This window comes from Homo sapiens, chromosome 4, assembly GCF_000001405.40.
Source record: "Homo sapiens chromosome 4, GRCh38.p14 Primary Assembly".
Lineage (NCBI taxonomy): Eukaryota > Metazoa > Chordata > Mammalia > Primates > Hominidae > Homo > Homo sapiens.
This window is the reverse complement of record NC_000004.12, coordinates 153,520,289-153,544,094: the sequence shown is the minus strand read 5'-3', so window position 1 is coordinate 153,544,094 and position 23,806 is coordinate 153,520,289. Positions and strand designations below refer to the sequence as shown.

At 43.6% G+C, this 23,806-nt stretch overlaps 1 protein-coding gene and 1 long non-coding RNA gene across 42 annotated transcripts in view, besides 9 other annotated features; one reads left to right on the top strand and one right to left on the bottom strand.

Annotated features, from left to right (window-relative positions):
* Positions 1 to 23,806, bottom strand: part of TMEM131L (transmembrane 131 like) — a 170,352-nt gene that overhangs the window by 92,617 nt on the left and 53,929 nt on the right. The window lies entirely within an intron of this gene.
* Positions 2,152 to 16,047, top strand: LOC105377498 (uncharacterized). Its single transcript, XR_939363.3, has 3 exons — positions 2,152 to 2,241; positions 7,223 to 7,305; positions 16,002 to 16,047. It is a non-coding gene; the product is annotated as an uncharacterized LOC105377498 (long non-coding RNA).
* Positions 7,506 to 8,011: an enhancer, noted in NCBI's record as "OCT4-NANOG-H3K27ac hESC enhancer chr4:154457236-154457741 (GRCh37/hg19 assembly coordinates)". NCBI's record gives its function as "activates a minimal SCP1, AML or CMV promoter by ChIP-STARR-seq in naive and primed H9 embryonic stem cells {active_cell/tissue: H9 hESC(naive and primed)}" and the evidence as "EXISTENCE:reporter gene assay evidence [ECO:0000049][PMID:30033119]".
* Positions 8,526 to 9,101: an enhancer, noted in NCBI's record as "H3K27ac-H3K4me1 hESC enhancer chr4:154456146-154456721 (GRCh37/hg19 assembly coordinates)". NCBI's record gives its function as "activates a minimal SCP1, AML or CMV promoter by ChIP-STARR-seq in primed H9 embryonic stem cells {active_cell/tissue: H9 hESC(primed)}" and the evidence as "EXISTENCE:reporter gene assay evidence [ECO:0000049][PMID:30033119]".
* Positions 9,102 to 9,678: an enhancer, noted in NCBI's record as "H3K27ac-H3K4me1 hESC enhancer chr4:154455569-154456145 (GRCh37/hg19 assembly coordinates)". NCBI's record gives its function as "activates a minimal SCP1, AML or CMV promoter by ChIP-STARR-seq in primed H9 embryonic stem cells {active_cell/tissue: H9 hESC(primed)}" and the evidence as "EXISTENCE:reporter gene assay evidence [ECO:0000049][PMID:30033119]".
* Positions 16,086 to 16,145: a silencer, noted in NCBI's record as "silent region_15763". NCBI's record gives its function as "represses an Ori minimal core promoter by ATAC-STARR-seq in GM12878 lymphoblastoid cells {active_cell/tissue: GM12878}" and the evidence as "EXISTENCE:reporter gene assay evidence [ECO:0000049][PMID:35858748]".
* Positions 17,330 to 17,379: an enhancer, noted in NCBI's record as "active region_22071". NCBI's record gives its function as "activates an Ori minimal core promoter by ATAC-STARR-seq in GM12878 lymphoblastoid cells {active_cell/tissue: GM12878}" and the evidence as "EXISTENCE:reporter gene assay evidence [ECO:0000049][PMID:35858748]".
* Positions 17,390 to 17,479: an enhancer, noted in NCBI's record as "active region_22070". NCBI's record gives its function as "activates an Ori minimal core promoter by ATAC-STARR-seq in GM12878 lymphoblastoid cells {active_cell/tissue: GM12878}" and the evidence as "EXISTENCE:reporter gene assay evidence [ECO:0000049][PMID:35858748]".
* Positions 20,253 to 21,093: an enhancer, noted in NCBI's record as "NANOG-H3K27ac hESC enhancer chr4:154444154-154444994 (GRCh37/hg19 assembly coordinates)". NCBI's record gives its function as "activates a minimal SCP1, AML or CMV promoter by ChIP-STARR-seq in naive H9 embryonic stem cells {active_cell/tissue: H9 hESC(naive)}" and the evidence as "EXISTENCE:reporter gene assay evidence [ECO:0000049][PMID:30033119]".
* Positions 21,267 to 21,316: an enhancer, noted in NCBI's record as "active region_22069". NCBI's record gives its function as "activates an Ori minimal core promoter by ATAC-STARR-seq in GM12878 lymphoblastoid cells {active_cell/tissue: GM12878}" and the evidence as "EXISTENCE:reporter gene assay evidence [ECO:0000049][PMID:35858748]".
* Positions 22,600 to 23,101: an enhancer, noted in NCBI's record as "NANOG hESC enhancer chr4:154442146-154442647 (GRCh37/hg19 assembly coordinates)". NCBI's record gives its function as "activates a minimal SCP1, AML or CMV promoter by ChIP-STARR-seq in primed H9 embryonic stem cells {active_cell/tissue: H9 hESC(primed)}" and the evidence as "EXISTENCE:reporter gene assay evidence [ECO:0000049][PMID:30033119]".

Genomic DNA, 23,806 nt, shown 5'->3' with positions numbered 1-23,806 from the left:
AAACCTTGTGGCCACAGCAACAATGGCTTTAGCCGCTGGATGTTGGCAAAAGGTTGCATGGACAAGAGGAAAGGTTTCCCATCCATTTCACAAACCCCCTCTGCCTCAAGAAAGGTAACTAAGTAGACCACGGTAACCAGAATAATGTTATTGTATCAAGACTCTGAAGTGCTCAAGGAATGACATGTTATGCTAACGAGACACTTACTGGGCTGTTCTCATTATTCAAAGAAATGAGAGATCCCACAGCTGGAAATGCTGGAAGAGACCTGGAGACTCCATAATGGCAGAAATCCCTGCATTAATCTCCTTGGTCCCTTTCTTCTAAACAGTGTGTCTGATGGGATACTTAGTCAACCACCATCTTCCTCTGAGCAGGAGACAGGTATTTCTAAGACCCAGCTGCTACCTCCTGGGACCTTAGAGGAATTCAGTATTTTTCCATTATGCAACTGGACTTCAAATCGATCCCTGCACAGATATAAAAAGTCCCAGCCTGGGGGGTGTCTATACCGATGCATGCCAACAATCAGACTGGTTACTCCAGGCGGCGGCCTTCCCCAGGCTCTCACTGCCTGGAAACGCCTATGAACTGAGGCAAGGCACTGACCTTTAGGGCCTTCCTTGAAAAACAAATGGCCTAAGCTGCACAATTTATTAAATGAGTTACACAACTACATAGTTATAAAATTCTACATCATGATCTTAGTACAAGTCGTTTTTTCTGTTTTTATTTTTAATTTAAAAAATACTTCTCCCCAGAAGTTTACTGATAGGAAAAAACATAAAAGACACAGGCATTGCTACTTAAGCTGGAACTGCCATTCTTACCAGTCAATTAACTACTTGAAAAGAACCATTTAACAATAGAGGCAGAAACCAGTATTTTTCTCCATTAAAATCCTACCAATAAGAAAAAGTTTTTTGGTAGGACATGATTTTCCTAGTTTCTTTCACTGTAGAAAGCTTCAGGCTTCAAGGTCAAAGCAATTATTAAACCAAAAGAGAGGAATCAAAAAGTCCTTGGAGCGATACCAAGAGTGGTCTGTTGGAGGCGCTCTCGCTAATAACAGCACCTGGGGATGTACAGCAGCCCAGCGTGTTGATGGCTGGCCTTCCTAAGACAGCGACAAAAGTCATCCACACTAATCTGTCCCTCATATTGCTGATGACCTATGCATCCACACTATCCAAGGAGGAGACATTGCGTCTGTCAGACTAACCCCACAGTTGCTCTTTCTGGATGCATCCCAGGCTCACAGCCCCCTGTCCTGCCCTCTCCAGGATTTCCATCTCCCTCCCAGCTCTGTCTCCTCCACTTACTTACATGAAAAGAATCATGCCCTGCTCACTTAAGATCCTTCTTCACCTTCCCTAGCCGCTTCAAGTCCTCTTCTTCCCTTTGAAGCCAAACCATAGGTGATGTAACAATGACAGCAAGTAAATTTATTAAGTACTTGTAGTATACCAGATGTTGTGCCAAGCACTTTATTATATATAATCCTAAGAACCCTATGTGGATACCAATAATCATCCATTGCACTTTCGCACACAAAGATGCTCTGGGGATTTAAACAACTTGCCGAAGCGCACCTGGCTGTGGGGTGGCTGAATGGGAATGTGATCGTGCATTCACAGCCCCTTCACTACACTGCCTCCACCTGACTGCTCTCTGGCCCCAGCCCTCTCTGCAACGTGGCCCTTGCTGAGGTCATAAATGATCACAGCCTGCGAAATCAAGTACCGAGCTGACTTGGCCTCTCCACTGGCTACCCTCTCTTGAATGGCTCTCCCTTGGTTTCCAGGAAACCTCCCCACTACCTCCTACCTCTGTGGCTGCTCCTTCTCCCTTTCTAACTCCTCTTCCTCTGCCTATCTCTTCCATGCTGTCATTTCCAAAGCTCTTCCTCTACTCTTTTCTCACTCTAGCCTATTGTACCTATCCAGTGGGTTTGCCTATCACCCACAGATTAATGCTTCCTTCACTGACATTTGTGATCACTGTAGCTGTTCAGCATCTTCCTTTACTGCATTGGTACATTTCCCATGGTCATCCCTCCTGGATTCGGAAAGGGCCAGATACTAGTTTTACCTAGCCCCACTAACAGCTGGGGTGCTAGCCCATGACCCAGACTTCTCCAGATTTACCCGCCTGAGGCAGGGCCTCCTCAAGCTGATGCCACAAGGAAGCAAAGAAGTTGAAGAATCTGTCCTGGGGGACCACAGCAGTACTGTAGCAGGGTAAGTGATGGGGTGGGGTTCTCAGCAGTCTATTTCCATGGAATATTTTTGGCTGTGGCTCTAGCTGCTAATCCCTCTTTTTGCCGGCTTGGTTTCTGGGCCTGGTTCTTTGGTCTTCCTAGAGATTCTGTCAGCTGCCCAACATCTTTTCAGCTCAAATCAGCCAAAGTTTGGTTTCTGTGGTTTGACTGATTCATTTCCCAAGCCTGTGTATCTGTGGCCTAGACTCTGCTGAGCTCCTGACTCGTGTTTCCATCTGTACCAGGCCTCATCCCGTGGATGGCCCACAGGCACCTCCCAATGGAATAAAAGATGCAGTTCACCATCTTGCTTGCAACGCCCCTCAGCTGGCTGTACTATATTCCCACGCCAGTGAGTGCCTTGGCCTACCTGCCCAGCTGAAAGCTTTGTTGATACCCTGACTCTTGTGTCTTCCATAACTCCATGTGCAACCAAAGAAATCTGTCCCTCACCCCCACATTCCATGAGGACCAAAAGGCATTTTCTCTCCAATTCAAAGAATTTTAAAATACATTATTATATTTACATATTTACTCTTACCACATTCCACATACTATAAAGATCTACTTTAGCCAACTAGTTAAAGGACTTTGCAAAACCCTATTAAAGAATAGGCCAGCAATTAAGCTCACATTTCCCCAACTCCCATCCCAACTTTCTCCTTACTCCAACTCCCATTCCAACTTTCTCCTTACTTTCATGGCTTCTCCTCTGTGGTTTAAAGATTTGACATCTTTCCTAGACGCTAGGGTAGGTCACTCTACTATATGTTAAAATAATGAAATGTGATTATAACATCTGCAAAATACAAAATACATTTTGCATTACCTTTCAGCTCTAGGACAAGTTAGCACGAACATTCAGTATTAGATACCTCCAGCATTAACAGAGTTTGCCAGACACTATACATAAAAAAAAGAAGCCAAAGCAGAAATTCACACGAACCCTAAGCAGATAAGGGAGTCTAGGGATGAAGGACTTTTTCCTCTTTGATCATGGGTGGACAATGCAAGCTCATGCATTACCGTGCATGTTATTTTTAGAAAACCAACCGTGAGTTCTCAAAGTGTCCATAAAAATTTAAGTTATTAGTTTCCTAAAGGTGCACTAGCCACGTTTTAAAGCTCATCTATAACACTTTAAGCAACTTGGTAGCTGAACTTATTCATACTGTAAAGGCAGACATGCCAAATCCCACCAACATTCATTTCTTCTATCTACCCAAGGCAGTTAGATTCAGAAATCCCCAAAGGCAAATAAAAACAGGCTGCCTAACTTTCACAGGCTCACAGTGTTATGTATGTATCACACACCTCCTACAATACATAACACATATGATACAAGGGAGAGCACAGTCCACAGTACTTTAAGTATCCACAAGAGGAAGAGATCACCTGGCGTGGAATAGGTTAGGAAATGCCTTTTGGAAGAGGTGGCATTTGAGTAGGATCTAGAAGGCTGAACGTGCTGTCTTCAGGTAAGGCTGGAGGAAGAGTTTTAACGAAGTGAAAAAACACAAGTTAAGGCATACAGATCACAGAAAGGCTGATAAGATAAAAAGTGAAGTACAAAAGATAATTAATTTCTAGAGTTTCTCAGTAGGACCGAAGAACAATCCTATGTAACTTTATGACCCGGAATAATATTTTACTAAAACACACTGAACTGACAGATGTTTTTTGTTTTGGGGTTTTTTTTTTTGTTTTTTTGTTTTTATTTTTGAGACAAAGTTTCACTCTTGTTGCCCAGGCTGGAGGGCAGTGGCGCGATCTCAGCTCACTGCAACCTCCGCCTCCCGGGTTCAAGCAATTCTCCTGCCTCAGCCTTCCCCAGTAGCTGGGATTACAGGCACCCGCCACCATGCCCGGCTAATTTTGTATTTTTAGTAGAGACGGGGTTTCTCCACGTTGGTCAGGCTGGTCTGGAACTCTCAACCTCAGGGGATCCGCCTGCCTCGGCCTCCCATAGTGCTGGAATTACAGGCGTAAGCCACCGTGCCCGGCCCTGACAGGTGTTTTTTTTTTAAAGTCCCAATATGAGCAAATATCTCAAAATGATCTTCAGACAAATACAAAGAATGTTAACAAGATTGCCAGAAAAATCTAATGAAAAATTTCTAACTATTCTTTGAAGGACCAGCCTCATGAGTAAAGGAGCCGGCAGGAGCAAGGGAGCCTCCTGCTTCACAGCAGCTGTTACAGTCGAGCACAATACTAACATGTATATCAGTGTTTCACTCCACCAGGGCCCAGTCCCATCTCTCAGAATACCCAGACAATATGTCATTATTCAAAAAGTTAAGTCTTCTCTCCTCAAAAAAAAAAAAAAAAAAAAAAAAAATCTAGCCTCTGAACATAATGTTTTTAAAACGGAATGCAGCAGAAACCTTTTTAATTGAAGTTTCATGCTGTCCATTCAGCAGACTAGCATAGACCACACACTTGCCCATAAAGTATAATTTACTATCACCAAGCTCACTTATATAATATAACCCCACTGTCAGAGGAGGACTTTAAAAACGATTTTTCTTATATGAAACCCAACAAACACTGGCACTGGAGAAACCAGTCTAGAGTGTGCCCAGAAAAACAAGGACTCCTTAACACAAGTCAGAGGACTGCTGGGTGTTTGTTTTGTTGGGTTTTTTTCCGCCTCCCCCCCTTTTGGGGGAGGTATGTGACTTAAACATATGTTGTATGAAAAGCAATTTTTCCTTGAGAAATAATGGTAAAGATCTCACTGTTTCTTTCCCAAGGTTCTGTGACAGAGGTTGCTCTTTGGCCCCTAATATCCCCCCTTCTCGTCTTCTTTCACATAATGGAATTTTTAAGTGGGCATATTTCCAAGGCTTCTCTGCATCTGGGTACGGCCACGGGACTAAGTTCCAGCAAATGGGGTGAAAGCCGAAGTATCGCGCCGGCAGTTTCCAAACTGCTGCCAGGAAAACAAACGTCTCCACCTTGTCCCACGAGTAGGAGATCCCAGTACCCTGGGGAAGGCGACGTGGGGTCCCTAAAGACTTCCTGGAGCCAGCGGCTGCATATCTGCAGACTCTCTCAGGAGAGAGAAAACACTCTCTTAAGATGTAAGCTTTAATTCTAACTGGAACAGCTTCCCATTCTTTTCCAACACCAGAAATTGCCAGCAGCAGCTGCTCAGCGGAACTAATACTACATGGCCTCATCACTCCAGCCCCTGCTTGCCCTGAGGGAGGCGGGTTTTTCAGCAGTGCCAGCCTTTCAGGGCGGCCAGAAGCAGAGCATCCCAATAAACCAGAAAGCTAAGTGGCTGAAGCAATAAAAGTCACTCAAACATAACCCAAATCTGATGGTAAAACAAAGAAAATCCTAAGTATGGAAAGGATGGTTCCTGCTGTCTTTCACTGGGAAAACCCATTGGTTCTGGTGGGGGCCTAGGGTGGCTTTGGCCCTGCACTGATGTAAACTGGGAAGTGCCTGCATGTGACTGGTTTAGAGCCTATCCTTCTGCTTCGTAACTAGACCTGCAGGGACGTACAAGGACCTCCATGAGATGCTTCAGGGAACCAAAGGTGGGAGGGTATTCCAGACTGATGTGGCCACACCAGAAAGAAAAGAGGTGCTAGAAGGAGCACACAGGTGACATCCCCACCTGGAAGGAACAAAGTCCTGGAAGGAGCATAGTCAATAAGAACCACTGCCATTTACATTTCAGGGAAGGCAAGGGGTAAGAATTATCCTACTCTTTGAAGATTGCTTAAAACATCCTCAAATACCGATACACATTACCTCCTTCCTGTGGGGTGGCTGGCAGGAACCTTACAAGGGAAAATACTTGTGTTCCCGCTCTACTTAAAGTTGTTCAGTGTTGTGTGAAACTGCAGAGTTCTTGCAAAATCAGAAGAGAAAAAATCAGGGAAAGTTGCATCTTGCTTCCCAGTTAGTCTAGGGAGAAAGGAGTCCATCAGATATAACACAGCAGTGGAAGAAACAATGAGGCTAAATTCCTACAGGTTTGTCAGAGGCTTTTGAACCAGAGCAACTCCATCTTAAATAGGAGCTGGGTAAAACGAGGCTGAAACCTACTGGGCTGCATTCCCAGACAGTTAAGGCATTCTAAGTCTTGGATGAGATAAGAGGTCAGCACAAGATACAGGTCATAAAGGCCTTGCTGATGAAACAGGTTGCAGTAAAGAAGCCGGCCGAAACCCACCAAAACCAAGATGGCCACAAGAGCGACCTCTGGTTGTCCTCACTGCTACACTCCACCAGCGCCATGACAGTTTACAAATGCCATGGCAACATCAGTATGTTACCCTATACGGTCAAAAAAGGGGAGGCATAAATAATCCACCCCTTATTTAGCATATCATCAAGAAATAACCATGAAAATGGGCAACCAGCAGCCCTCAGGGCTGTTCTGACTATGGAGTAGCCATTCTTTCATTCGTTTACTTTCTTAATAAACCTGCTTTTGCTTTGCACTATGGACTTGCCTTGAATTCTTTCTTGTGTGAGATTCAAGAACTCTCTCTTGGGGTCTAGATCAGAACCTCTTTCCTGTAACAGGTTCACTGGGTCCCAATCAGGAACAATCTACAAAGGTGGAGTTAACCATAAAGATGAGTACAAGAGATCATCTAATGCTCTTGTGATCAGAAGTTCAGTTTCCACTATTATAAAATTAAGGTAAGACCCTGTGATGGTTAATACTGAGTATCAACTTGATTGAAGGATGCAGAGTATTGATCCTGGGTGTGTCCGTGAGGGTGTTGCCAAAGGAGATTAACATTTGAGTCAGTGGGCTGGGAAAGGCAGACCCACCCTTAATCTGGGTGGGCACCATCTAATCAGCTGCCAGCGCAGCCAGGATATAAAGCAGGCAGAAAAGCATGAAAAGGCTAGACTGGCTTAGCCTCCCAGCCAACATCTTTTTCCTATGCTTTCTCCCGTGCTGGATGCTTCCTGCCCTGGAACATCAGACTCCCAAGTTCTTCAGCTTTGGGACTCGGACTGGTTTCCTTGCTCCTCAGCTTGCAGACAACCTATTGGACCTTGTGATCGGGTGAGTTTAATACTTTGTAATAAACTCCCCTTTATATATATACATAGAAGGGAGGGAGGGAGGGAGGGAGATAGATAGACAGACAGACAGACAAGACAGATAGCTAGATAGATCGATCGATTCTGTCAGTTCTGTCCCTCTAGAGAATCTGACTGACACAGACCCCCTAAATCCATTGTGAGGATTAAATGAAATGTGTTTGTAAAGAGTTTTGCCAAGCACCCAGCAAAGTGTTTCAGGATTTCTTTTATTAGAGGTTGTGGGGAGGTGGGCAGAATGCCTCCAACAGAACTCCAGTGCCCTGACAGCTAGAGGCTGCACTGCAGGCACTGCAGCAACTGAAGCAGGAGCCTCCCTTTCAATTCAGCTCAGGGAACTTAATTGTTCTTAATTATACAGATGCCACTCATATGCAAATCATACATGAAGAGTTTTCCTTTTAAATTGTAATTCTTCTTTCAAACCCTTGAGGCACTGAAGTGTTATTGCTGAAGATGTCTGCAAAAGAAAGAATGGCCCTGCGTGGTCCCTCAAGCCCAGGAGTCCCTCTCCACAGGCCCTCACTCCCTCTGCCCCATCAGCAGCTTGTTAACCCCCCCAGTGGCCAGGTCTGCCCCAGTCTTGCTCCTGGATTTTCAGCCCAGATCCTAACAACTTCCCCTGTCTTTCCAGCATTCTCCATCCCCAGACAAAGCACGGTATGAATCCTATGCAGATGTGCAGGAAGGCAGGGAAAAGCAAAGATCAGCTGGTAGCAACGTGGTTTTGTCCATTCAATCCTTCTCTCAATAAATACCCATTCCAAAAGAAGCAGAGCGCTCCAATAAAAATTGTGTTTTGAAGATTGTAAACAGCAACATGAAAAAAGTGCTGCCGTTGCCGTGACAAGTAAACAAAAGGAAACAAAGCTGCTGTGTGCAACAAGATTACAACTAAAAAAAATATACAAAGGAAAATGAGAAGGCAAATACCAAAATATTAACAGCAACGTTAGGATGAGTAGAATATCAGACACTTTCCTTTTGCCTGACTCTCCAAAATGGTTCTGAACCTGTGAGAATATTAAAGATGTTCAGAACGATGTGCTTTTTGAAAACTCAAGAGCAATAGGAAGGTACACTCTTCCTAAATACAGCTTATAGTTATTTCTTTTTTTGATTCAAACAGCATATTTCCACATTAATAAATTATTTAAAAGCTAACAAAAGTTAGCTTTTAAATAATTGGTTTTGTTATGTTGCTTCACTTCCCCTAACTCGCTGGCCACCTCTCAGTCTCCTCTACCACCCTTCTGAATGCAGAGACACCCCAGGCTCCAGACCCTGGTCCTCTTTTCTAAGCAATCTAAAATGACTCAATGCTTATCTGATCCAACGTGAAGGCTGTAAACACCACCCCAAATTTACATCTCTAGCCCAGCACCCTTCCCAACTGCCCATCCACATGTGCTCTGGAATGTCGAAAAGACATCCCAAAACTCAACAGGTGTGAAACTGAGCTCCTGATCTTACCCCCACACCCAACTGCCCACAGCCATCTCCGCTCAGTTGTTCAAGCCAATAACCCTGGAGTCATCCCTAACTGTTCTCTTTCTCACACCCCGCATCCCATCCATCGGAAATCCCATGAGCTCCGCTTTCACCAGGCCCACTGCCACACCTGATCCAAGCACCCATCATGTCTCTCCATCTCTTGCTTCCTGGCTGTAAGGGCCTCACTGGTTTCCCTGCCACCCAGGCTCAGCACTGCCAGCATGGCCTCTTTAAACCTAATTCAAATGGCATCACTGCTCTGCTCAAAATCCCCACAAGAACTCCGCATTTCCAAGGCCTCACGCTGTGCTCTCCCTGTGACCTCACCAACTCCACACCCCTCTCCAGGTCTGTACCCACGGTGCTCTCACCACAAGGGTCTTCTGGCTTCACTGGGAATATCCCAAGTATATGGTCCTCCTACCTTAAAGTCCTTTGCAGTGGCTGTTCTCTCTATCTGGAACATTCTTCACCCAGACAGCCTCATGGCAAACTCCCTCATCTCCATCAAATCCTCCAACTCCTGGCCAGGCGCCGTGGCTCACGCCTGTAATCCTAGCACATTGGGAGGCCGAGGCGGGCGTATCACGAGGTCAGGAGATAGAGACCATCCTGGCTAACATGGTGAAATCCCGTCTCTACTAAAAATACAAAAAATTAGCCGGGCGTGGTAGCACACGCCTGTAGTCCCAGCTACTAGGGAGGCTGAGGCAGGAGAATCGCTTGAACCCGGGAGGCAAAGGTTGCAGTGAGCTGAGATTGCGCCACTGTACTCCAGCCTGGGCGACAGAGCAAGACTCTGTCTCAAAAAAAATAAAAAATAAAAATAAATCCTCCACCTCCTTCAAATCCTTGTAAAATCTCACCCTCTTAATAAGCTTCAACCTCCTGTTTATAGCTGCAGCCCACACCACAATCCTCATCCTCTTTTCCCTTGACCGGTTGTTTCCACTTTTTCTATACCACATATCACCTTATAACATCCATAAAATTTAGTTTCGCAGTTTTCTCTTTCTCACATCCTATTAGACTGCAAGGTCCACTAGATTTTGGTCTATTTGGTTTGCTGTTTTGTATTTACAGAACACTCACTCGGTAACATTTGTTGAGTGAAAGAAAACCTTCCCAAACCGGTGTCATTGATTTATAAAATCACAATTCAGGCCTCATAATATTTCTTTTTAATTACTCAGTATAAAGCTGGCTTCATCCTAGCATGTCAGAAACTGCAGAATCATAAAAAACGTTTCCCAAACTTCAACCAAAACCTTCACCAAATCTAATTTACCAAAACAATAAAAGTATGTATAGAATACTTTTAAAAACCAATGTCAGGTTGGTTATATTTCTTTTTCAGCTTAAAAAATATATCGGGTCTATTCATGCCAATCACAAATACAACATTTAGTGATTTGCTAAATTACGAATGCTGTAAATGTTAGAGGGCAAGACAACTAAGAAACTTAAAAATGCAAAAAACATAGGATCCTACTAAGGAAAATAAGGTACTGAACCAGGCAATGAAAAGTTTAGAAAGAGATTAAGCTAGAAATTGCCTGATCAGGTGGATCATGCTCAAACAGGACTGTAAGAGGAGGTCCAAGTTGGTAACCCTTGGCTTGGGGAGAATCTTTTAGAAAGTAGCACCCACAGCCTGGGCCTGGTTCAAATGCTTTGACTAACCATCTGAATCAGCAACATTGGTTATTGCAGCATGCCTGAGATGGTTCTTTTAGTTCCACTGCTTGAATGAATAGATCTGTAATCCCAGAATGAAGAAATAAATCAAAACCTAGAGTAATTTATAAGCCAGTGACACAAAATACAGGCAAACTGAGGTGAGGCTCAGCACCTGATTGGCAGCCTCCCCTCCGCCACTGCTGCTGCAGATGTGCGCCCCACTCCCACACGCAGTCCCCCTACTTATAATGGGGTGAACGTGGCCAATGTGGAAATAAAAGAATTAAGAAGGAGGCTGGGTGCGGTAGCTTACGCCTGTAATCCCAGCACTTTGGGAGGCCAAGGCGGGTGGATAAAGTGAGGTCGGGAGTTCGAGACCAGCCTGACCAACATGGAGAAACCCCGTCTCTACAAAAATACAAAATTAGCCGGGTGTGGTAGTGCATGCCTGTAATCCCAGCTACTTGGGAAGCTGAGGCAGGAAAATTGCTTGAACCCGGGAGACAGAGGTTGTGGTGAGCCAAGATCGCCAACACTGCACTCCAGCCTGGGCAACAAGAACGAAACTCTGTCTCAAAAAAAAAAAAAAAAAAGAATTGAGAAAGAGAGAGAATCCCTAAATCCACCTGTGCCTGAAGCTAATACCCCTGCTTCTTCCAGGTTACCAGGGCCAATGAGTTCCTTTAATGCGTCAGCTAGCTGAGTGAAATCTGTCACTTGAAGCTGAAAAGATTCCAACTAGTAGGTACATGAACCCAGCAACTAAAACATAATTCATGAGATTGTGTCCAAAAGTCAGCAGGTAACCTTTGGAACGTTAAGAAACATTTTATGACTATTTATAAAAACAAATGCTTTCCGAGAAACAGTATAATTTTGCAAAAGGCTGAAGATGATCTGAAATTCCCACTTAAAAAAAAAAGAAAAAGTGTCCGTCGAAAAGTACAAACTACATTTTCTTTATAAAAGAACCAACAGGTTATTTTAGGAGGGATAAAAGTGTTCTAAAATTAGAGTGTGCTGCTGGTTGCAAAACCCCACAAATACACTAAAAAATATTGAGTTGCACTCTTTAAGTGGGCAAATTGTATGCCATGTGAATTGTATCTCAATAAAGCTTTTTTTTTTTTTAAAAAAAAAGCACTAATAGCAAGTAAGCACACACGCCAGACTCCTAATTCAATCATTCTGTCAGGATTCCATGTAGGAAAGAGGAGGCCATTTCTACAGATGCATCTTCTCACACATGTACCCATACAAGCTCTACACAAGCTCATTCCCTTTCTGTGCACACATACGCCTCCTGTACATAATGAAAATGCCATATGCAGATGCATTTGATTAGCACCATCCACATTTCCCATAATTATGCAGTGCTTTGTAAGCTGCAGTTAATTCCTGACTATTATCCAAGTGCAAAATCATTCTGCCTAATTTCAAGCAGCCTGGCAGCTGCAGAGGAAGAACAGCTTTGGCCTTCAGTGGAGATCCATTTGACATATAACCCCTGCTGCTACAAGGACTCCAATCATCTAGAGCTAATCAATTTCAATCAAGCAGGCTCTACTAGACTGGAGAACAATGGTGATTTCCTTCTTCATCTGTTAGCATGCACCTTAAAAGGGCCAGAAGATGAAGAGAAGGGCAGAAATCAGGACTGGGGTTTGGTGGGGAGGTGGTGGAGAGGTGGGGAAATAGAATAAGAGAAGAACAAGTGCTTACACCAGACATGTGATCCTTAAAACACCTGGCTTCCAGAGCTCAGCAAACTCTAACAGTACAAAATTATCCTAAATTCGCCAGTTCTCCAAATAATCCCTTGACCTCTCTTCTTAGGAGGCATTTCCGGATTTTAAATAACTTCCATTGTCTTTTTCCTTTAACTATAAACAGAGATAAGAAAATATACTAACAGCACTTTATACAATAAAATAGCGTATTATACTGTAAAATGCCACGTTTATATAATAAAATACTGTATAATAAGGTAGTCACATGAATTTTTAACTCTCATTACAGACAACTCAATTTTTATTCTGGATTCAGTAACATTTTTGAAATATATTCCTTTCCTCCAGTAATAACAAAAGAGGGAAATCCTGTAGAGTTCACATTCTGACAGTATTTACAGGATTAATCCCTTTATATCCAAGAAAAGGTATATCCTCTGTAGTGGAATCTTTAAAAATGTGTAGCTCCTAAACACTTCCTCCCTTTTAAAAAGAATTCTCATGGGCACTGGCTCCTAGAGTCAAGAAATAATTTAGTCCAGTAATAGCCAATGTGGCCATCTCTCAGAGATAATATGGATTCAAGGGTTCCAGCACTTCCCCCGTATCAGAATTTCTAGGGATAGAGCCTAGGAATCTGTGTTTGAGGAATAGCTCTCTCAGACAATTCCAGTGTACATGCATCCACTAGGGGAGCAGAAGGAACCTGAGTACATGCATTTGGGAACCACTGATCCATTTATCCATCTATCTGCTGCTCATTCCAGGATACTTGCAGTGACACTTCTGTTTCCAATGCAGCTCATTCCCATTATAAAATTCTTCAGCCTCAGCCAGAGTCAGGCTGCAGGAAATGAGCTAGCTATTTTAAGCAGAAAGGGATTTAATATAGAGAATTAGGTGCTTATAAAATCACTGAAGAGTTCAAGGGAGCAGGCTCTATGCCGGGCCTCCAGGAAAGACTCCCAGAACCACATGGAACTGGCCCACAAGGGGTGCTGGTGCCTCTGCCACATCAGGAAAGTGGGGGGGCCTCAGGAAGCTATCTTGGAACTACTGAGTCAGCCACATCCTCTCAGCTGCGATCCTAAGACCTAAGAGCTACCTCTGTCACTGCTGCTGGTCCAATGTCAGATATCAACTCAGTCAAACAGTGGGACGAAATCACTCACTTTTTGCTATGCTCCAGAGGTCGAACTTGCATGAGTGAAATGTGCTTGTGAAAATACCCAATGAATACCTTTTAAAGGTACTTGCCAGCACCAAGTACAGCAAGCCAGCCTACCCTGGACAGAAGACCCTCAACTTCAAACTACGCCTATGCAGCATTCTCTTTTCAAGCAGTCTCTAACAACCCTCAAGTCTCTCTCACCTACAGTACTTCCTTTGGGCGTTTTTCTATTTCCCCTTCCTGTGGGGAAACTGCTCGTTCATGTCCCAGTACTGTACCATACCTAATAATATCTTTTGAATTTATTCTTTGATTTAGCTCATAATGCAGCCTGTCTAGATCAGGGTCCTGATTTATCATCCAATAAACCGGCTCTTTTCCCCAAAATGCCACCATCCACCAAATTAATGACACTTAAACTATCAGTTTAAGTATACTAATGCCACTTCCCCTGGAATATCCTGATAATCACGTTACCAAGATCTGCCAAAATTCAACCAGCAATTTTTACACAGTATTTCCCGGACCTTATATCCAACACAGCATTAGGTGTAGTGAATGGATAAAAGTATAAAACACAGACCCTGACTACAAGGAGTTTGTATTCTCCAGGAAGCAGCACAGACCTAAAAAAAAAAAAAAAGGACAACAGAGATGGCAAGAATTTTAGAGGCTGCAAATGGAATATTTGACACAAATATGAACTATAAACTACTTAGATTTGAAATAATGATGGTCCTTAAAGCATGTGTGAGGTCTCGTGAAATGAACATATGGTAACATCTTGTGTAACAGCCTGTTTTAACAGAGACCATTTTTGCAATCAGATCTTACTTAATACACTGTGTGACTTCAAAACATGGGCATAAGCCAAATACAGAAAATCTCCCACAGGTTATGTGAAGGGGGTAGGGGAGAAAAAGGGAGGTGTTTGAAGCAAATGAAATCATTCCTATCACAAGGATTCAGACCAGAGAGTATACCACAGCGTGACATAAAACGTACACATACCCTTAAATTTTAAAATTTATTTTCCCTTGTGCTCAAACTACTTTTCCTCCTAGATTTAATTTGGTGTTATATTTGTGCTTGCATTAAGATTTTCCCCCCAAGGATTCAGTTTTCTCTTCTCTTTAGTTTTTCAACTCTTTCAATCCACTCCCTTCCAAAGTAGCAGTATCTATTTCTAAATAAAGAGTCCACTATAGGTTTAGTTACTTTACATACTCACTTTCAGTAAGTGGAAACATATACACTGACTAAAGTTCCTCTTCAAGTCATGCTGAAGATGAAACAGGTACACCCACAAAAGCTTGCCAATTTTAGTGGAAATTTTACTTTCATTTCTTTTGTAAAAAGGATTCCATCCCATCTACATTTTAGAAGTATGCTGTGTACCATTTCCTTAAATAGAATATTCAAAGTAATCAATCATTTCTTTTACCAGTGCAAGTACAACTGACTCTCTATGGAACAGAACATTTCCATTTTCTACAGATGAAAGTCAAGGTTCAAAGACATGAGGTTAAGTGTCATTTCTCATAAGCACCGAGATAAAATTAATCACAAAACCTCCCAGAAATCACCAGTGATCACAGAACAGGCAACTGATGGGCAGTCTCTGGGACCCTCTGGACAGTGGGGATAAAAGCAATGGAAGGTTCTTCCTCAGCTCACTGGATCCCACCTCTTTAATCCGGAGGCCACAACTCTCGGAGGCCAGACCCACAGAAACTTACCCTACCGAAAGGGTGCCAAAATTCAAAGACTGGTGTGACCCACCATACACTGTGCATGGTCAGATAAGAAACCATTGCAGATGTTTCTCTTGAGTTTCAAAGTCTACCCTATCTGTGGCCCACACTCTCCGAGGGAGGGGTTGGCTCCCCCACCCCCAACCAAATCCCTCTCTCCCCAAGACTATTTCTATTAGGCTTGGAAGCTCTGAAACAGAGGCATACGCTGTACCTGCTTTGCTTGTGGAACAGCAACTTTAATATGAACACATTACGAGACAGCCTAGGCAGAGAACCTATAAGAGACCAGGTTCTGTTATTTTAGGGAAAGTAGGAAAAACATTAAAAAGAATGCAAGTGAGAAAGCAATTTCCTCCTTAAATTTAAAAGTATTTTCCTCCTTTACCTGCTTTTGAACTTACACTTTTTCTTACCTTATTGTGATTTGTTTTGTTGTTTTTAAAGCCCCTAAATTTCCAAAGGGGAATGGTTTATCTGCATTACTGCCACCAGACTTCACACTCTATATTAAAACTGGTACGCTTTTTTCAATATTGTGAAACATGTCACAGTTTTCCCACTTCACTGGAAAAGGATACATCAAATACAAAACTTATGTTTTATCACCCACACAAATCTACCAATGCCAACTGCTGGGAGCTCAAACGCAGTCTTGCGCTCTGTTCTGTTTTCGTAGGCTGGGTTTTCCCTATCAATAAGTTTCCATTTTTACGACTAAATAATCCACCTGAAGAGGCAAGCTGTAACCTGTTTTATATTATGCCAAAACCTGGAAGTAAACTGAGGCTTTCAAAATGTATAACGTCTATTTTCCTCTTTATTTCAGAGATGAGAGAACTCAACAAGGCGTGGCAGGCAATGCCTTTCCGCAGGACAAGGAAATTCAGACCAGACGGTGAGGAAAAGAACCTGCTCAGTTAATGGTATGGCTGCACAACACACAAACTGAACTAAAATTACAGAAGCTTCTCGAAGTTGTACGCATATAGTACCAAAAAAGAGGAAACTGAAGAGAGACAAATGCAAGGTGGTCCTGAGGCAGGTCGCAGTAAAAGGACGAGGTTAGACCCAAATGTTGCAGAAACAGCCTTCACCTCAGAGTCAGGGGCCCAAGATGACACTCCAGGCTCAGCCACACGCTGCCAGGTAAAACGTGTTGGGTTCCCTTCCTGGGCTGCGTTTCCTCAAACACGAAAGACCCCCAAATTCTGATCCTTTCACTGGCAACAAGTTATAAAACTATGAAGAAAAGGAAGTAAACATTAAATCAGGGCAGGGGTGGGGTCACATACACTTGCCTGATTTGGATCAATGCACTATAAAAAAGACGAGAAGAAACTCAGGATTTGGGCCAGTGGCTCATGCCTGTAATCCTAGCACACTGAGAGGCCAAGGCAAGCGGATCACTTGAGCCCAGGAGTTCAAAAGACCAGCCTGAGCAACATGGTGAAACCCTGTCTCTACCAAAGAATACAAAAACTTAGCCGGGCATGGTGGTGCACACCTGAAATCTCAGCTACTCGGGAGGATGAGGTGGGAGAATTGCTTGAACCCAGGAGGCGGAGGCTGCAGTGAGCTGAGATCGTACCACTGCACTACAGCCTGGGCAACAGAATGAGACCTCATCACCGCCCCCCCACAAAGAAAAAAAACTGAAGATTTGGCAACAAGTCACCAAATGATAATTACGATGAAAATTACTTTCACCTCCCCCTTGCAAGATTCATTTACTATTGTCAGTCACAAGTACCTGCTAGAATAACCCCAAATCCTAAAACATCAATGGACTGTAGCCAACATGAGCTTTGTGTCAGAAGTGCAACTGAAAAAAGATGGTCATCTGATTCCTAAAAAGGGATCTTCAGTCTTTCATGGAGGGTTAAATAACCTCATGCATTCAACATTTAATTGCCATGTCTCAGGTATTGTCCCAGACAAAAGGGACACAAAGATACATATAAACAATAAATGCAGGCCCTCTCTCAAGGCCCCAAAACCTACACGCCCGCTCAACAGAATAGACATGATGTGAACCCTTAATTACCAGAACAATTTACCCCTCCTCTGTGTTTCTGCAGCATTTTACACCTATCTCTGTTATAGCACATTTCACAACACGACAGGAGCTATTTACAAGTGCTACTGGCCTCATATAAGACAGCAAGCTTCCTTTTTTTTTTTTTGAGACAGAGTCTTGCTCTGTCACCCAGGCTGGAGTGCAGTGGCGTGATCTCGCTCACTGCAAGCTCCGCCTCCCGGGTTCACGCCATTCTCCTGCCTCAGCCTCCTGAGTAGCTGGGACTACAGGTGCCCGCCACCACGCCCGGCTAATTTTTTTTTGTATTTTTTAGTAGAGACGGGGTTTCACCGTGTTAGCCGGGATGGTCTCAATCTCCTGACCTCGTGATCCACCTGCCTCGGACTCCCAAAGTGCTAGGATTACAGGTGTGAGCCACCGTGCCCGGCCAAGACAGCAAGCTTCCTGAGGGCAGGGAGTGCGTCCTTCATCCCTGCATCCTCTATCCAATACAGTATCTGCAGGAGGGAGTGCTCAAAAAACATGTGTTGGAAACTTGAAGTTAGGGATAAATGATTCTCAGATGAACAATACAGGTAGTGGACAGGAGAAGAGAGGCCTGTGGATGAGAGGACAGGTGGACCAAGTGTGGCCTACACAAACTTTATGCCCTTGCTACTCAAACTATGATCCACAGACCAGCAGCATCGCATCGCCTGGGAGTCTGTTAGAAAAGTGGAGTAGCAGGCTGGGTGTGGTGGCTCACGCCTGTAATCCCAGTACTTTGGGAGACCGAGGTGGGCGGATCATGAGATCAAGAGATCAAGACCATCCTGGCCAACATGGTGAAACCCCATCTCTACTAAAAATACAAAAAAATCAGCTGGGTGCAGTAGTGCGTGCCTGTAGTCCCAACTACTTGGGAGGCTGAGGCAGGAGAATCACTTGAACCCGGGAGGCAGAGGCTGCAGTGAGCCGAGATCGTGCCAACTCACTCTAGCCTGGCGACAGAGCGAGACTCCATCTCAAAAAAAAAATAAAAATAAAAAATAAAGGAATGTGGAATCGCAGGCCCCACCACAGACCTACTTAATCAGCATCTCCAAGCTAACAAGATCCCTCGATGATTCCTGTGCGCCTTAATATTTGAAAAACACTGATACAGAGAAGATTTAAGTGGGAAACCCACTAACAAATGAGAAGAATCAGTTAGACTTAGGCAGCAAGAGTAATAAAAAGAAATTAAGAAACTGAAAGAAAAAGGGCTGGGCACGGTGGCTCACGCCTGTAATCCCAGCACTTTGGGAGGCCCAGGCAGGCTGATCACTTGAGGTCAGGAGCTCGAGACCAGCCTGGTCAATGTGGTGAAACCCTGTCTCTATTAAAAATACAAAAATTAGCCAGGTGTGGTGGCGTGCACCTGTAACCCCAGCTACCTGGGAGGCTGAGGCACGAAAATCGCCTGAACCTTGGAGGCAGAGGTTGCAGTGAGCCGAGATAGCGCCACTGCACTCCAGCCTGGGTGACAGAGTGAGATCCAGTCTCAAAAAAAAAGAAACTGAAAGGAAAAGGATTTACTTATGAGGCTGTTAAACCTGTGATGAAAGAACAGGCACTGGCTCTAGAGGTACTATCACAATCACTATTTCAAGTTTTTAAAAACGGAAAAATCCTTTTAAAAAATCCTAAAACTTTCCAATATATGCCTGATTTGTGTGCACCACTCAAACACATTGGAAAGAAGGAGAATAATCATTATGTATCAAGTCGCATCAACCCATAAACCAGAGAGAAATGCCTGTCAAATACCTGGACAGTGTGCTATTACACTCAGCATCATTACGTATGCTTCACTAGCCAAACAGCAGTGTGGTCCTAAAACACGAGCCATCCAATGAAACTACTTACAGAGATAGCCCCTGCTTTACCTCCATGGAACATTCCTAGAACCCACAACATGAAGCCAATATCATACCTTCCCATGGGAACTACACTGTAATTGAAGGGTTACATCCTGGCCAAAGGCACCAAATAAATCACAGCAATGGCGACACTGCACAAAATCTATGACACAGCTACAAATCCTCTAAATAACATAAAGTGATAAAATCAGGCTTCAACCCATAACATGGGAGTTTTATGTTGGAAGTAACCTTAATAGACCACAGGGTCTAAATTTCTCCTCCTCCAGGCCACGAAATGGAAACCCAGAGGGGTGCTTGCCCAAAGTCAAGGATCTGGTTAAACAGCTGAGCTAAGAAACAAACCTAGGCCTCCTACCAAGCAATCCCATGCACTATTAGACAAGCTTATCTTCTTTACAAAGTCCCTTAAAATAAAAAGCATGCATCATTATTGTATAAACTGTCTTCAAAATAAGACACACATAAAGCTCATAAAAATATAACTCTCCCTTTGACATATTTACCTGCAAACAATGTCAGTCATTAAAACATATATCTGTGTCCTTGATATTAGCAACTATTTTTCTTTTTGGCCTTTTTAAAATTTACAAAGTGTTGTGGGAGAAGACCTGGACTGCCAGCAGGGAGTAGCCCTCGCTTATGGCCTCAACCGACACACACAACTTAGCTGCTGCCCCTCCTTCTGCTGAGAGACCTAGGGCAGGTCCATCAGAGTCCTTGGGCTACATGCCCTGGAAGGGAACTCCTGAGAATGCAAAGCTCTGAGAATGGCAATCCAGAGCAGCCAGGGGCCAAATTCCCCACTAGACTTTGCAGCTAAGACAGGAAAAAAAAAAAAAAAAAAAACAGAAGTGAAACATGGGAAAGACAGAAAACCTAAAGTGAGACGTGCTGGTAAATCAGTTCTCAGCCAGGAGATTGGGTGATGACGACTTTTATTCTCTTTGTTCTTTTCTGAGTTACTTAATCTTCCTACAATAAACATGAATTTTCTAATGAGAAAACTATGTCATGAAGTAAGGGCAGGGCTGATAATCAAACAGAACATGCTCCCTTTATGGAAGGCTGAGGCCTCCTCTGATTAGGTAAAACCTTGGGTATCACCCTGAGTATGGGGTACAAAACAAAATACAACTTGCTATGTAATCTATCAGCCTGACTGCAGGAGTAAAGGTGAGATCTTTTCTGGGTGTGGCCTTGATTTGGAAATATTTTAATTTTCTTTTAACACTAACCGCAGACTTTTCTCCATAATCCCATCAATAATAATATGATAACGATCCATGAAAATTCAACTATAAAACTTGAGGCCAATTAGAAGCACACAACCTCCTGAGTGCTTCCCATTAGCACCCTCTTCAAAACAACTAGCCGACCAGCTCTGCAAATGTCAGCCTTTGCATTTTCTAAAGCCTCAATTCTTCTTCCTCAAAGACTTCCCCTTCTTTTTACCAAGTCTTACCTTCAGACTTATGCCACAGATTTAGTTTCCTCCTAAACAATGTAGTGCTATTTCCCTTCTGAATTTTAAGTTTTGGCTTATTATGCTTCTCTCTGGCCTCCATTCATTCCTAAAATGAATAGCTAGTCCCCTCTGCTAGCTTAAGGCAAACTGCCTAATCTCACGTCTTATAGAAGGAATTCCATTCAACACACAGCAGCCTAGAGGGATACTAGGAAATTCATACGTTTCACAAATACTTCCACTTAAAAGGCAACATACTTCTGGCAGTTTTAAATAACATGGCTTGCCAATGCCTGACATAACATTTGGGAATTATAGTCACAAGAAACTATATTTCAGATTTTATTCTAACATAAAATTCTAAGGGCACAAAAGTTAAAAATACAGGTAATCCTATGGCCTTAAACTATTTTTTTTAAGAACTAAGAAACACAGTACGTTGATGATTAGGTGAGCAAACCAAGCCACAAAAACCTACTCATCCTTAAGTCCTATAAAGTCTAACTACCATGTATCAGAGTGGACTAAGGGAAAACCCAAGCTCTGTAGCCCAGGCAAAGGCAATGGGGATTTCCTCTGCCTGGTCTAGATCACCCAGTGTAACTCAAGGCAGGGCTTCAAGCAACCCATTGCTCAAAGTAGTCTGTGGGCAGTGATAGTGGGAGGATGGGGAGGCCCTCCAGGAAGGGGACTTCACAAAGGATGGGGATGGGGAGGTGAGGTGAGAAATGAAATGGGCTGTGGCACACGATGAGATATGGGAATGACCACCTTCTGGGCAGGCTCTCATTCTTTCATTCCAAGAAGCATTTATTAAAGACTGGCTAGGGCGAGGGAACCCAGCTAGGTGCTGGGGATAAAAAATAAGAAATAACTGAAGGACCTTGCTCTTAAGGAACTCCATCTTACTGGGTGGAGCCAAACGAGAAGAGAGAGCTCGGTAGGGCACCAAAGCGTTCTGGCAGAAATAGCATGAGGCAGGGGGAAGGGTCACGCTTCCTGGAAGAGCCACACAGACCGAGTCCCAGGGAGCCCAGAGGGCGGTCCCTCTGCCCGCAGCACTGCCTTCACGTTTACTTCCATCCCGGTCTCCTCCTTCCCCTAGTGCTTGGCATGCAACATCCCTGCTTCTCACCCACCTTTTATTTAAGTCTCCTATTATCTGCACACAATGGAAGTTAGGACACCTATTTCCTACCAACTTATGAACTTAGAAAGTTGACATTAAAAGGGCACAAAACAGGAACTCAAAACCCACAAGCTCAAGCTTCAAAGGTGAGAACGTCCCATTTCACAAATGGCGGTTGAGGGTTCCCACTTCACCACTCCACGTTTCTCCTCCGGCTCCTTCACCACAGCCTCACAGACCCACACTTGATTTCTCACTCTCTTGAAAATTTACATTCAACAGTTCCTCTCACACCCAAGAAAACCAGAGGTCCCAGGGCAGCACGTGTAAGATTTCACTCTAAACGATTCTGCTTTAAGTTGCAGGCTCAGTAGAAGCACATACACCAAAATAACAAAAGTTATGTTGGGTAGGGGAATAATGTAATCTTTTTATTCTTCTGTATACTGTTGAAAAACTGTAAAATAAACATGCACTTCTTGTGTAATAACAACATGATGTTAACAAAAAAAAAAAAAAAACACAGAAAACACATGCAACAACATGGATAAATCTTGAAGACATTACGCTAAATGAAAGAAGCCAATCCTAAAAAGACAAGTAACGTATGATTCTCCCTCCTATGAAGCACGCAGAGTAGTCAAATCCACAGAGACGGAAGTAAAAGGGTGGGTGCTACGGGCTTGAGCGGGAGGGAGGAATGAGGAGTTATTGTTCAATGGGCACAGTTTCAGTTCTACAAGATGAAAAGATTTCTGGAGACGGATGGTGGCGATAGTTGCTCTGTAACATGGGTATACTTAACGCCACTCAACTGTACACTTAAAAATGGTCAAAATGGTAAATTTAATGTTACGTCTATTGTACCCCAATTTAAAAAATAACTAAGTAAAAAGAACAGTTTTCAGGAATGTATTTGGTGCAAAATAAGGTCTATCTGTATTTAACAGCACGTGTCCTTTCCTATAGCAATGTACAATGGTTCTAGTGATTATAATGTAGACTCACTTCCTAGCTAGAACATCAAGAGGAGACACGCATTTGAAACGGTCCTGCCTGGAAGGCCACGGCCCAGACTTTTCCCTGGAGCAATAACCACCCCGCCCCTTCTCAATGATATCAGCACCATTATCCCTGACAGCCGCCACAGCCACCACCCTGATGGTGCTGAATCCCTAATGGTTATTCACATTACCTCCATCCTCACAAGCCTAGAAGAGTCAGTATCATCCCCATTCTACACATGCAGAAACAAGGCCCCAGATCACAGAGCCGGAAAGTGGCTCAAGTTAATGTGTGGGCAGTGCTACTCCCCAGTGGATACTCCCTACAACCACTTCCCCTCCCCAAAATCACACACACAAAGAACTGGCTTCCCAGGGAGGACTGCAAGTCACTTCACCTACTCATTCCTTTAATGCAGACACACTGAACAGCTGCTCTATAAATTCCAGGAAGTAAAGGATCCAAAGACGTTGATTGAAAAAGCAGAAGCTACAATTACCCCTGGGAAAGGGTCCCCAGTCCTTCCCATTAACTAATTCTAAACACGACGTACTTTAAGTCGTGCTCCAATTCTTCACAGTTAATTATTAATCACTTCCAATCATGAATCTCTAGCACACCCATTTATGTCACAGAAATAACTGCTCCTCACTAAACCCGCTCAGTTATTAAGGAAAGAAGAAGAGACAGGGCACAGAGATAGCCCTTGCTAATCTCTCATCAGCGCTTTTCAAACTTTGCCCCCAAATTACTGACAGAGGAGAACGATCTGCACTGGAGACCTAGGGCCTTCCCAGTTTCCTGCCCAAAGTGTGAAAAATATTGAGGACTAGTCATCTATTTTTAAGATGTATGCAAACTGAGCACTCTCTTCCAGCTTTTGAGTTTTTATTTATGTATTTATCTATCAGAGACAGGATCTCACTCTGTTGCCCAGGCTGGAGAGCAATGGTGTGATCATGTCTCACTGCAGCCTTGACCTCCAGTGATCAGCTATCCTCCTGCCTCAGCCTCCAAGTAGCTGGAACCACGGACGAGTGCCACTACACCCAGCTAATTTTTTTAATCTTTTTTTTTCTTTTTTAACGCA